Here is a 14,966-nt window from a genome sequence, read left to right as displayed (position 1 = left end):
ACACACAGGAGCTTAAAAATGGGGAGATCTATTGACTGATTGGTCCATCCATCCATCCATCCATCCACCCACCCATCCATTCATTTCTATTCATCCATTCAACCAACATTAATTGAATGCACACTCTTTGCCAGGCCTTGGCTGAGAGGCCAAAGCTACAAAGAAGAAAAGGCTCAATTCTATTTCTCAAGGATCTTACAAAGAACTGGATAGGCAGGCACAGTCAAAAAAAGATGCTCAAAATTTGGTGAGTTACACATGGGCTGGATATACAGCAGACTTTAAGTAAATACTATGTGAAAACAATAACAATAAAACACAGATCTGTGGCAAGAGATGCCATTTCCAGCTCTCTCTTGATGATTTTATTTGAGGGTAAAGGACTTTTAGCAGTTTGGGGGGAAAAAGCTGCACGAAGTAGGTGACTCTTGTCTCTTTTTCCAGCCCACGTTCATCATCTCCGGAGAAAACAACTCCTGTGGCTTGAAGCCTTTAATGGAGCCAGTTCTCCCCCACAGGCTGTCTTCACTTCCAGGGAGGGAGGGTTATTTACTGCATGCTTCATCATTGACGATCTGCATGGAGAGAACACAGGAATCACATTCACTTTGAGCCGCTGAGTGGCCTGGACGGGAGCCATCTGTGTGCACTCTTCCTTTATCTCGTGTGTGTGTCGGGGGTAGCCAGGAGTGCATTTTAGAAAGAAATACTTGGAAAAGTTAATGAAACAGCACAAAATGTAATTCCCAGTTCAATATCGAGTTGCCATTTGTTGTTCATTTTAGTTTGTATTTTGTGCGTTTTGCCAAGGACTCACATAAGCTTTGCTTTTTTTGAATTAGGATTATAAATCACGTGGAAACTCTGGTGACATTTAAAAAAAATTGAACGCAGCACCTGTCTGTTTTAAACATTAGCAATGCTGAAATTGGTTTTCATATAACTGTGAGCTATAATAACTTTCACCTACTTGGAATTGGTTTGTAATTTTGACATGAACTGATGAGAGCCAAAATATTGTTAAGCTTCCCCCTGCCTTCCAGACCCAGTTTGGATTTGAGGGATTCTGGAGATTTGTGATTTGAAAGTAATCATTGTAAAACACATCATCATTAATCAAATTACTGAGACCACAGTGTACAGGGTGTTCCATTCCCAGCTTTCGGGAATCATCCCATCAATTCTAATCTGGCCATTGTCACTAGGGTAGACAAAGAATCAATCAAATCAACAAGTATTTATCCAGAGCTTAGTACGCACTTAGCACAGTTCCAGGGTACTATTTGGAAGGAGGGTAGGAGAGGGTAGAAGATGTGTAAGACACATTCCTTCATTATCTGAACAAGCAAGGAGGAAAATGGCAATTGTTTCTTCAAAATGCTGCCTGCCTTGATCATTAGCTTTGAATAGCTGTATGATTTCAAGTTGCAAGGTTAGAAATGTAACTGCTTTGTACTTTCAAAGTGAAATGAGTTATTTGGTGAGAAAAATCCCTCACATTTATTGTACTGGTCTGGTGTTTTCTTTTGACAATTGCTGCTGATTTTGGCAGCATAGGAAAGACCCTACATCCTGTCTGCTGAGGAGCACAACAGTATAGAAAGGGCTTCAAAGGAATTATTTCCCCCCTGGCATCCCCATTGCTGAGTGAGTGGGCAAATGACCAGCAAGGCCCTGCTTGCCAGTTGGTATTGTGCCTCCTCATAAGGAAGCTGACCAGCAGGCAGATAGACAGACATTGATGTTCTGCCCGCGTTCCTGGAAAAGGGGGAAGCGGCCAGGTTACATAATGGTCTGACTTTTTAGAGAAGTCCAGTTTTCCAAAAAATAAATCCACAACTGTGAAGTAGAAGGGAAACTTTCTCCTGTACTGCCAGAAGGCATTTCAAAGCATCTGTAATTATTTTTAACAGTTTCATTGAGGTATAATCTACATAGCAGAAAATTCATGCACTGTAAGTGCACAGTTAAATAAGTTTCAGAAAATGTGTCCATTTGTACAACCATACAACCATCACTACAATTCAGTTTTAGAAAACTTCCAATACCTCAAAACATTCCCTCCTTTGGAGTATTCATCCGTTCTCATGCTGCTGATAAAGACACACCCGAGACTGGGTAATTTATAAAGAAAAAGAGATTTAATGGACTCACAGTTCCACATGGCTGGGGAGGCCTCACAATCGTGGCGGGAGGCAAAAGACACCTTACATGGCAGCAGGCAAGAAACAGAATGAGAATCAAGCAAAAGGGAAAACCCTTTACAAAACCATTAGATCTCCTGAGACTTATTCACTACCACAAGAACAGTATGGGGGAAACTTCCACCATGATTCAATTATCTCCCACTGGATCCCTCCTACAACACATGGGAATTATGGAAGTTACAATTCAAGATGAGATTTGAGTGGGGACACAGCCAAACCACATCACTTGGCTTGTTTGCAGTCAATCCCCACTCTCACTCGCCGGCCCAAGCAACCATTGATCCGCCTTTTGTTTATAAAGCTCTTATGAATGGGATCATACAATATGCTGTCTTTTGTGTTTGGCTTCTTTCACTTAGGATAATGTTTTCAAAGTTCATCCATGTTGTTTCATGTATCAATACTTCATCGCTTTTTATCACTGAGTAGTTCCATTGCATGGATGGACCACTTTGTTAATCCATTTCTCAGTGGATGGATGTTTAGCTTGTTTCCTTTTTTTACCAACACGTCCACTGTCACTGATAATTTTAAGTAAGACATGACACTAACATTAAAATGGAAAATTATCTACTTCCAATCTTGTTATGCATGTCACTACACTAGTTCTGAAAGACTGTTATATTAGTTTCATGCAATATAAACTACATTGGGAAGTAGGAAATTATCAAGTGGATATTTTGTCCAATCAAAACTTCAGTTATGCAAGATGAACAGGACCTTAGAGCCTTGAAATGAGCAAGCTTTCCCCAAAAGTAAAAGAAATTTTCCCAAAGACAGTCTTACTTTTTTCTACCTTACCATATCTGCTTTCTCACTCTTGAAATACTTCATGTACTTTATCCATTTGTGCATTCATTAATTCATTCATTCCTGTTTATTCCATAAATATTTAGTGGACATTTTCTCTGTGTTAAGGCAGGGTGCTAGGTGCTATAGTACATATAAAAAGAAATCAGACATGATCATAACTGGTTCTGTACAGATACCCAAGTCAGTTTTTTAAGTATTTTTGACTGAGACTCACAGTAAAAAGTACATATTACCTGTACATATGTAACTGAGATAAAAGTTTCATAAAATGATACTTCACATTACTGTGTGTGATTCAATATTATTTTCTATCTCATTTTAAAAAATAGTTGATTGCAACCCACTGAACTGATTTTACCACCCACAAATAGGTTGCATCCTGCAATTTCAAAAAGTTTCACTAAAATAGTAATATTTCGGGATAAGGAACAGAGGACAATGCTTACTATCTAGGAGGAACAGAGAACAAGAGGATTGTATGGGAGTTGATGGCGGGGGATATAAAGGTTCAGGGGAGGGCCTACTTAGTGATATAGGTGACCCAACCGCTCTGGAGCCCTGGTTAGTCTGTTTGCATCAGGACTTGGAGCACTATCATCTCAATGAAAAATTCTGTGTGTTGGCAGGTGCGGTGGCTGATGCTGTAATCCCAGCACCTTGGGAGGCCTAGGCAGGCAGATGGCTTGAGCCCAGGAGTCTGAGACGAGCCTGGGCAACATAGCAAAACTCTTTCTCTACTAAATATGGGTGACAGAGTGAGACCCTGTCTCAAAAAAGAGAAAAATCCTGTGTGTTGAAGAATCTAGGCCTCTGTGGCTCAGCAGAGGTGGGTGGCTGGAGAGGGGGCAGTCACCTAAATGGTTCTTGAGAAGAATTTTCTCTCCTTGTTTTAGCTAACAGAAAAAGCCCAACTTCATAAAGCAAATGTGCACTCATTTATTCTAAGTTTACTGTCCTTGGTTTTGATTATTAATCTCTTCAAGTAGCTGAAACTCATAAGAACTGAACAATCTTATGATGCTCCCCAGAAGACAGAAAACTTCTACTGTACGTCTCTCTCTTTCTGAATCGATCACTATCTTAGTCTTAGTCTTGTTTTTCTTTCCTCCTCACCAGTCCTTTCAACATTTCTTCTCTCACCTGTTTTCTCTCAGCTGTCCTTCTTTTTTTTTTTTTTGGAGATGGAGTCTTGCTCTGTCTCCCAGGCTGGAGTGCAGTGGCATGATCTTGGTTCACCGCAAGCTCCATCTCCCGGGTTCACGCCATTCTCCCGCTTCAGCCTCCCGAGTAGCTGGAACTACAGGTGCCCGCCACCATGCCCGGCTAATTTTTTGTATTTTTAGTAGAGATGGGATTTCACCGTGTTAGCCAGGATGGTCTTGATTCTCCTGACCTCGTGATCTGCCCGCCTCAGCCTCCCAAAGTACTGGGATTACAGGCATGAGCCACCACGCCCAGCTCTCTCAGTTGTCTTTCTTATGAAATAACTAAAACTGGGCACTGTCACAGACAGCTCCTTCCAATAAAGGCCACTGAAATCTTTTAGCTGGATTCTCTCCTTCCCTGAGCCTTAAGGAACAAGCTCGGTGGCAGGGTCTTAGAACACAGGTAACTTTTAGATGGGCAGGGGAGGGATTTTTTTTTTTTAAACATTTATGGAGAGTTTGTGATTGACTGAGCAGTTTACATGTTTTGCCCATTTATTTCTCAAAATGATTCAATAAGGTAGACACACTTACCCCATTTTCTGACATAGGCCATAGGACTCAGAGAGGCTAGGTAACTTACCTAAGATCACAAAGCTATTAAGTGCTGGAGTTGAGATTCCAGCTTGTATCTTCTGCCTCTAAAGCATGTGAAGCTGGCGCTACTGATTCAGCAAACATTCACTGAGAATCTATGAGGTGGAGGAGTTGAAGACACAAAAATGATGGTGACATCATCCCTGTCCTGAGGAGCTCATGGGGTCACGGAGTGTGATCCGGAAACAGAGAGGAAGTCCTGGCACCTGTGGAAAGTTGGTTTGGTTGAGCAGCGAGGGATAAATTGAGGGGGTAGAAGTCTATTCTGTAGGAAGTGGAGGGCCCCTAGGGGTTTATGAGCAGGACAGTCACTTGTTGGTAGCTGCATCCTGCAGCTGGCAGCAGGGGAGAGGTGAGGAGCATCTGGCTCGGGAAGGCAGAGGTGGGAAGGGAGAGAGGCATAAGGAGAATGTGAAAGGGAGTGAGACAAGATTTGGCAGCTGAATCTGTCTGGGCTTCAAAGCATCACATTTATTCTTCCAGTCAGCACTTCCACTGGGTGACCCCTCCCAGGCCCATCCAAGATGACCCTTTCTGAAAAGCCCCCAAGCTGTGGTTGCTCCTGAAATCTGCTTTTGGGAGAATCCCTGTTGCTTCTTGCCCATGGCTGCTGCTGGATTTGGCTGAAGGTCTATTTCCTTGGGTATCCTGGACTCATTAGTGTGTGCGACAAGTTGAAGTGCTCTCTACCACAACACATTATTTCACATTTTCCCCAGTTGCATTTGAGCTATTTTGGAGCCTGTGATTTTCCTCGCTTTGGTCCAACTTACACGGTGCCGGCAGTTGTGCGGTCCAATCCCTGCAATATGTTCAGCCCATCTGCTACTGTTTCCCACAGTGTTTAGCTTTGAAAATCTTGGGTAAAGCCTTCCACGTTGGTGGATTCCCATTTTCAACATTTTCCTCTAGCTTTATATTTTTTTTTCTCAAGATGGAGTCTTGTCTTTCAAAAATGCAGGACTCAGACTAGAACTGCCCATGACTTTGACCTTGGTGGTTTCTGTCGCTCTATGGGTTTGGCTGCTCAGCCCTTCCAGCCAAGGTTGTTTAGTGGCCTCTTAGCTTGCAGGAAAGAGGTGAAATGGTTGACACACTCCAGGATTAGGAATGGTTAGGATTTTAAAGTTAAAAAAATTAGAAAAGAGCTCCAGAAATCTGGACCAGTTCTGCCTCTGAAAAATGGCATTATGTGAAGAAACTTCTATTTTCCAGCCATGACAGACATCTGGAAAAGCCTGGGATTGGTGAATCAGAATGGGGTTCACTGGCAGTGGAAGCTGGAGAAGCTGATTCAATTGTCTCCAGACCTCAGGTTCCTTGTCTGTAAAATGGGACAGAAATAGCAGCTGCCTTTTAGAAGGGTGCCATAACGGAACAAGCTAACATCAGTGTCTGGTGCAGGCTGGGTATGTCCTCGCCTTTTTATCCTTTATTTGCATTTGTGTCTTTGGCTTGTTGGTCCCTTCCCTCCTCTGAGACAGAAGAGCACAGGGAATAAGAATGTGGCCTCTGGGGTCAGACTATGAAGAGTCTGATTCCTGGTCCTGCTTACTAGCTGTGTGTGACTTAGGGTAAGTTAATCTCAAATATCCACACCTCAGTCTGCCCAGAGGTAAAATGGGGTTGTCATGAGCCTTAAGTGGGCTGATCTTTCCAACTCTCTGAATCCCAGGAATCTTAGAAGCCACCAGTTGGTCAAGGAAGCAGGCCTTTGCTTATCATCTGTTATTTTCCAGTTGCTTCTTCCTTCTCTCAGATGGAACATCTCTCAAAACTTGGAATTCAGTGACAGTGAGATCTGCGGTCAGTCTTAGATTCTACATGGAACTTCTGAGAAAGCCAGAGCAATAGCCTGTCTCCAGTTTAGCTTCTCTTGCCTGAACGCATTCCCTACCACAGTTAAGCTTTCAGGACAGGCTGGTTCTCTTAGGGGAAAAGAAGTTAGGTAGCTTAATTTTTTTGTTGTGGTAAAATATACACAACATAAAATTTACCATCTTAGGAATATTCAAGTGTCCATTAAGGACACTCATTAAGTATAAAGTGGCATTAAATACATTCACATTTTTGTGCAACAATTGCCAGCACCATATCCAGAACTTTTTCATCTTCCCAAACTGGAGCTCTGTACCCATTAAATACTAACTTCCCATTTCTCCCCCTTTCCAGCCTCTGGTGGTGTAACACCATTCTACCTTCTGTCTCTACAAATTTGACTACTCTAAATAACTCCTATAAGTGATATTGTACAGTATGTGTCCTTATATGTCTGACTTATTTCACTCAGCATAATGTCCTCAAAGTTCACCTAGTTGTAGCATGTGTTGAGAGTTCCTTCCTTTTTAAGGCAGAGTAATATTCCATTGTATGGATATACCACATTTTGTTTATTCATTCATCCATTGATGAACATATGGATTGCTTCCACATCTTGGCTATTGTGAAAGTGCTGCTATGAACGTTGATGTGCAAATATTTCTTTAAAGGCTCTGCTTTCATTTCTTTTGGATATATACCCAGAATTGGGACTGCTGGATCATATAATAGTTCTATTTTTAATTTTTTGAGGTACCTCCATACCATTTTCCATAGCGGCTGCACCATTTTAGAATCCCACTAACAGTGCACAAGGGTTCCAATCTCTGCATATCCATGCCAACACTTATTTTCCATTTTTCTGATGATAGTCATCCTAATGGATGTGAGCTAATAACTCACCTTGATTTTAATTTGCATTTCTCTGATGATTAGTGATGTTGAACATCTTTTCACATGCTTATTGGATATTTCTATATCATCTTTGGAGAAATGTCTGTTCAAGTTATTTGCTCATTTTCAAATTGGGTTATTCGATTTTTTGTTGTTGAGTTATAGGAGTTCTTTACATATTCTGGATATTAAATACTTATCAGGGATATGATCTGCAAATATTTTCTCCCATTCTAAGGGTTGCCTTTTTGTTTCATTGATTGTGTCCTTTGATGCACAAAAGTTTTTAAGTTTGATATAATCCCATGTGTCTATTTTTGCTAGATAATTTCATCTTAAAACAAAAAGAAGTATGGTTACTTTTTTCTAATGTACATGTTATACAGGTTGAGTATCTCTTATTTAAAATGCTTGGGACCAGAAGTGTTTTGAATTTTCAACTTTGGGATATTTTCATTATACTGAAGCATCCCAAATTCCAAAATCTGAAATCTGAAATGCTTCAATGAACATTTCCTTTGCACATCATGTGGGTTCTCAAAAGTTTTGGATTTTAAAGCATTTCAAATGGGAGATTTTTGGATTTGGGATGTTCAACTTGGTTCTAAATAAACTTTTAGATTTTAAGACCAATGGAACAAATCTATGCTAATCACAGTAAGTCCTAACATCTGCATATCTTTTCATTTGGTTCAAGAGGAAAAATAGTCATGATGTTAATTTTAGAATAGCCAGAAATTGAGGAGGAGGTGCAGTACAGAGGTTAAGCATGGCCTCTGTAGTCTCTCTAGGTTCTGGTCCCAGGTCCACCCCTTCCTAGCTATGTAACCTGAACAGTTTACCCAATGATGAGAATTAGGTGGGCTAAGTTTTGTAAAGTACTTGAGAGAGTACCTGGCACAAAGTAAGTTTGTGCTCGGTAAACTGAGTCCATCACTCTTCTAAACCCATCCTGACCGGTGTTCACTGCTGTTCCAGTTTCCATTGAAAACAGCATGGGGGCAAAACTATAGAGACAGTAAGAAAAAAAAAAGTGTTTGCCACTAGTTGCATGGGTGGGTGGGTGGGGCATGAACAGGTGAAGCACAGGGTATTTTAAAGGCAGTGAAACCCTTCTGCATGATAATGGTGGATACATGGCATTAGGAATTTGTCAAAACCCGTAAGACATGCAACACAAAGAATGAACCCTAAGCTATGGACTTTGGTTCATAATATTGGCTCACCAGTTGTAACAAATGAATCTCACTAATGGAGGATGTTTGTAATAGAGGAAATTGTGTGATGGGAAAGGGGTTATATAAGAATTCTCTCTATGACCTGCCTAATTTTTTGTACACCTAAAACTGCTATAAAAAATAAAGCATATTATTCTTTTTTAAAAAAGGTGTGGTAATGAACTAAATACAAAATGCCATCCCACCCACCTCAGTTCCCCCATCCTACAAATTCTCTGAGTGTACCTGTCAGTAGGTGTTGTCTTCAATTTTTCTCACTATCTGACTGTCTCCCTTTTTGATTTTATCCTTCACAAGATTTTCCTCCTAAGATGACGTAGAATGGAAATGGGATTTTGGTCAGCTCTATCACCATAGGACAAAGACAGAAAAGACTGTTCTCTCCTTTGGGAGTGGACCACTGACAACCAGGCACTTTTCCACCTCTCCTTTCATAGGAACTAATGTGAACAGCATTTAAATAGATGTCCCATCCAGACATAAGGGGCTGGGATGAACAGTGAAAAAATTTGTGATTTATCCTTGGTTTACATTTCAAAGAAATGAATTCATTTCTAATAGCCTCTTGTTCTAAGTACAAGGCGTCATCACTTATTGTGTGCACTACAGGTCATCAATAACCTGTAAATAATGATAAAAATTTAGTGTTTCACAAGTGTATTTGGGTTTCACATAGGCTGACTCTAGAGGCTGTGGGCGTACATCACCCTGCTGTTTGGCTTCCACAGGTTCTGACTACCCTAAAAGTAAGATGATTGCCTTTTTCCCTTCGAACCAAATGAAAAGATGAGAAGAGACTATAGCTTGCATGTAGCGCTAAGGAGACCAGCTGGCAGCAGGTTCACGTGGAAATACTCTGAATCAAGCAAGTTTGCCTAGCTTAGCTCGGTATCCAGTCTTTGGAATGGAAGTGGAAATTGTTCTCCGCATTGGGCACGCCATTGTCACATCCACATCCAAAGATGCCTTCTGAGCATGACAGCCGCGTTATCCTGAAAGACAATACATCAAGCCAAGGGCAAATAATATCCAATGTCAAATGCTCTCGGGGGTTTGAGAGGTGGATATAGTAAGTAATGGGATATTAGACGGTTGGAAAGCTTTACATTTCTCCTCTGTGTGCTAAGCACAGCCATCATTGCCCACCCATGATGTACCCTTATTTGAAGTGCTCCCCTCCCACAGCCCTTGCTGAAATCAGGACCCGGCTTGACAGTATTTGCCTTCAGCGACTGGCCCTATGACCACAGCTGATTGGGTCAGGAAAGGCTTCTGACCTCAGAGGACAAATTCCGAATGAAGGGACAGAGAAGCCTGAGTCTACTGGGGGACCCTGGAGCCCTGGGGTCATGTGAAGATGAGGCCTGGGCTTGTGTCATGGGAAGCCAGCAGCTAAGGGTGGGGAGCAGGGATGAAGCTCTTGCCTGCCATTGGTGGGTGGGTTGGGGGAGCAGACGTGCAGGGAGAGGCGGAGACAAGACCACACAGCCCCAGAGAGAGGGGCAGGGACAGGGTAGCGGCCTGACGCCTTTCCGGGTCCCTGGAGGCCCACAGAACTTCCCGTGTCAGGATCCCAGGAGGAGCCCCCTTTGCCTCATAATAACTCCCTTCTGAATTGTGCATTTTTGGGGAATCAGTGTTCCTTGCCAACAAGCGCTCTGTGTGGAAAGCACCCAGCTGCTGGGTGTCTGTATGTCCCAAGCACAGCAGCTTCCTCAAGCAACCCAATTAAAAAACAGTGGACAGTTCTTCAAAAAAGATAGATAAGGCCGGGCGCGGGGGCTCACGCCTGTAATCCCAGCACTTGGGGAGGCCGAGGCGGGTGCATCATGAGCTCAGGAGATCGAGACCATCCTGGCTTCCACAGTGAAACCACGTTTCTACTAAAATACAAAAAAAATTAGCTGGGCATGGTGGCGGGCGGCAGTAGTACCAGCTGCAAGAGAGGCTGAGGCAGGAGAATGGCGTGAGCCCGGGAGGTGGAGCTTGCAGTGAGCCAAGGTCGCACCACTGCACTCCAGCCTGGGCGACAGAGCTAGACTCCGTCTCAAAAAAAAAAAAAAAAAAAAAAAAAAAAAAAAAAAAAAGACAAATGGTCAATAAGCACATGGAAAGATGTTCAGCCTCATTAGTCATGAGGGAAAAACAAATCAAAACCACAGTGAGACACCACTTCACACCCATGAGGATGGCTACTATTTAAAAAATAAAATAAAATAAAATAGAAAGGGCCAGGCGCGGTGGCTCATGCCTGTAATCCCAGCACTTTGGGAGGCTGAGGCAGGCAGATCACAAGGTCAGGAGATCGAGACCATCCTGGCTAACACGGTGAAACCCCGTCTCTACTAAAAATACAAAAACAAAATTAGCCGGGCACGGTGGCGGGCGCCTGCAGTCCCAGCTATTCGGGAGGCTGAGGCAAGAGAATGGCGTGAACCCGGGAGGAGGAGCTTACAGTGAGCGGAGATTGCGCCACTGCACTCCAGCATGGGCGACAGAGCGAGACTCTGTCTCAAAAAAAAAAAAAAAAAAAAAAAAAAAAAGAAAAGAAAAGAAAAAAGAGAAAGAAAATAGGCAAGAGTTGTCAAAGGATATGGACCCCTCCTGCACTGCTGATAGGAGAGGAGACTGATGCAGCCACTGTGAAAAACGGCTTCACAGTTCCTCAAAAAATTAAACTTAGAATTGTCATATGATCCAGTAATTCCACTCCTAGGAATATACCCCAAAGAATCAAAAGCAGGGTATCAAACAGGTATTTGCACACGAATATTCATTGCAGCATTTTTTACAATAGTTCCAAAGTGGAAGCGACCCAAATATCCATCAATAGGTAAATGGATGAACAAAATGTGATATACACGTAAAATGGGATAATATTCAGTCTTAAAAAGAAATGAAATTCTGATCGGTGTTGCAAATAGTCATCCTTGTGAAATAAGTAAAATAAGCCTGACATGAAGGAACAAATATGGTATGATTTCACTCATATGAGGTAGCTAGAATAAGACAACTTTTTTTTTGAGATGGCGTTTCCCTCTTGTTTCCCAGGCTAGAGTGCAATGGCTTGATCTCAGCTCACTGCAACCTCCACCTCCTGGTTTCAAGTGATTCTCCTGCCTCAGCCTCCTGAGTAGCTGGGATTACAGGTGCCTGCCACTATGCCCAGCTAATTTTGTATTTTTAGTAGAGACGAGGTTTTACCATGTTGACCAGGCTGGTCTCGAACTCCTGACCTCAGGTGATCCTCCCACCTAGGCCTCCCAAAGTGCTGGGATTACAGGCGTGAGCCACTGCACCCGGCCAAATGTAAAGAGACAGAAAGTAAAATGATGGTTAGCAGGGGCTGGGGAGAGGGGGAAATGGGGGAATTATTGTTTAATAGGTACAGAGTTTCTGTTTGGGATGATGAAAAGTTCTGGAACAGGATAGTGGTGATGGTTGCACAACAATGTGACTGTGCCTGATGGCACTGATTGTACACTTAAAAATGGTTAAAATGGTAAATGTCATGTTATGTATGTTTTACCACTAATTAAATACATGAATAAATCAGGCTGGAGCCAACAGGCCCCTTTTCCCTTCTTCACCATTTTGCCGCAGTCACTCATCCTGGGCATCTGACATGTGCTGTCATGCTTCATCAGGGATGTTTGTGCTACTACATGTACATGAGGCTTGGTTACCCCTTAGAGGAAGCAAGTTGTTGACTGGCCTTATTTCAAGACAAGTTGGAATCTAGACATAAAATGTTGAGCAAAGGTTGGCTGGTTGTGTGCTTATTCACTGGAAATGCCATCTCCAGAGCACCCAGATCTAAATCTTTGGTGGATGAAGTATTTTGAAACTCCTGCCTAAGTATGTGCCATCGTTTTTCTGACCATGTTAGCAATTTTATCCACACTGAACACAAAGATTCCTCTGCCCTGGGTTGTTAAAAATAAGTGAGGAAGAATGTTCATGACAGAACCATTCATAATGATGAAAAGTCAAAAACAATCTGAATGCCTAAGGTAGGGATATAGTTAAGTATGATACATTCATGGAATAGAATGTTCTGCAGCCATTAAAAATCATGTTTCTAAGGCTATTTATGATGTGGAGAAATGCTCACAATATAATATTAAGTGGTTTTTCAGTAAGTGAAAAAGCAGGATACAAAACTGGATATTTATCATGGTTCCAATTGTGTCATAACTATATCTGTACAGAAACTATAAAGACAAATGCTACACTGTTAAAGGTAATTATTTCAGAGCAGAAAAAGTATATGTAATTTTTTTTACACTTGTCTTTTTTTCTACAATGCATGTTATTCTTATATTCAGGAAAATTCAATGTTATCAATTATTTTAAAAGAAAGTGAGGTGGGTTAGTTTTGGTGCATAGAGGAAATCTAGCATAGCATTCCTAGGACTTTTGTTTAAGGGTTTTAGCTGTCCAGAGATCCTTGACCTTTGGCCCTTGACCCTTGACTGGGTCTTCACTTGTCACAGGTGTTAAGAGCATGGCTGACTGGCAGTCTCCAACTCACTGCTCCTCCCAGAGACCACAGGTTGATGAATCATTTGTTTTGTTTCTCACTGATTCAAGATGGAAATGCAGCCACCTGCTTCTTTTGCTGGAATATGTGTCTAAGTTCAATAATTCATTGTCGTATTTACATTTTTTTCACTCTGAAGCTTTCCCTACTTGTCATATGTACCTGCTGCACTTCCAGAGCCCACCCTTGCTCACTGCTGTGTATCCAAAGTTGGGGCGACCCATCTTCCAATCCATCACCCACAGCAGCCCCCATTCTCCAATGCTTTAGAGCTCCTGACAACTTACTCAAACAGATAAGTGATTCATGCCTTGGAATTCCACTGCTTGTTTATCATCTACACAAAAATTATTTTGGGGAACTTGGAATTCATCGTGGTTTGAGTTTTACGGAAAAGAATAAATTACTCTTCCTCCCCAATAAAATGCGTTCCTAGTTTGCTATTGTATGGAACACTTAAACTACAAACAAAACAAAAGCTAGTGACACACTTCCTTGTGTTAACATAACAGACCAAAGGAAAGTTATTACCAAAGTTATTACCAAAGGAAAATCAAGTCAATCATTCAGTGCAAGTGGTATTTTATACCACTTAAAATGGCCATTTTCTTGGTGAGCACAGCACTGACGATTCTATGGGAATTGTTACATTCATATTTCCTAAATATAAACCCTGTCATTGGCCTATGCATCTTCTCTTTTGAAATATTTAGAATATTTCTTATGATTTATGTGTCTTTTTTACTGCATGGATCAATGTGGGATTGTGCAACAATAATTTAACTCAAGGTTGTTAAAATCTATAACCATGAAAGATACGCTTGCAATGACTCTGGGGAATATAATTTTGTTTGTTCGTTTGTTTTATCAATAATGACAATATGTTCTCTGGAATTCTTCCAAAAAGCCACCGTGTGTGGGTAAAAAGCACCATAGTCTTTGGAGACTTTGGAAACAAGTCGCTTTCCTTTACCAAAATGGATGCAACCTAGACCATTAAAATGATTGTCAACCTTGAACACAGAGACTGAACAAGGTTAAAATGTAAAATACTCCTATAGAAACACTTAGAGGAGTAAAACTTCAAAATAAAAATGAATCCAGAACGTTTGCTAGACAGAGCAGCCAATGTCATCAAACTCAGTTTTACCAGCACAATGTACCCTTGAGAGTCTTGTTTGACATTGTTGACTGTTTGGACACAATTATGGCTATTGTTGGTCACAGCTCTGACATGACATTAAACCAACAACATGCTTGGGCTGTCATTGTCTGAAGGTCAAGTTCAGATCATACCGGAGAGTTTAGTTACAGCTGAGTGGGTGACAAGAAGACATGGTCAAGACTGCTCTGCCATGGTGATTGAACAGCTCCATTGTAAGAACACAATTTTTAATCAAAGTGACATTGTATTCATAAGTGAGGAATAAATATAAATATTTTAAAATACAAAAGAAAAGGCTATCCAGTGGAGAAAGACCATAAATACCTGACAGGTAGATTGCTCTGTCTTCTGGAGGACCCGGCTAGGTAAATCCTCAAAGGTGCAGAAAATGCCTAGCTTTTGTTTTAGACTAAACACATCCTCTTCAAATCCCCGTGTTAAAACACAAACCCCTAATGTGATGATATTAGGAGAAGGGGCCTTTGT

At 41.6% G+C, this 14,966-nt stretch overlaps 1 long non-coding RNA gene across 1 annotated transcript; it reads right to left on the bottom strand.

Annotated features, from left to right (window-relative positions):
- Positions 1-384: 384 nt before the first annotated feature.
- On the bottom strand, positions 385-14,889 carry LOC105378492 (uncharacterized). Its single transcript, XR_946332.1, has 3 exons — positions 14,805-14,889; positions 4,809-5,028; positions 385-575 (listed from the first exon to the last, which is right to left on the bottom strand). It is a non-coding gene; the product is annotated as an uncharacterized LOC105378492 (long non-coding RNA).
- Positions 14,890-14,966: the final 77 nt, after the last annotated feature.

Source organism: Homo sapiens, chromosome 10 (genome assembly GCF_000001405.40).
Source record: "Homo sapiens chromosome 10, GRCh38.p14 Primary Assembly".
In the NCBI taxonomy this organism is placed as follows: domain Eukaryota; kingdom Metazoa; phylum Chordata; class Mammalia; order Primates; family Hominidae; genus Homo; species Homo sapiens.
The sequence above is the reverse complement of the archived record's forward strand: the minus strand, read 5'-3'. Positions and strand labels throughout refer to the sequence as shown.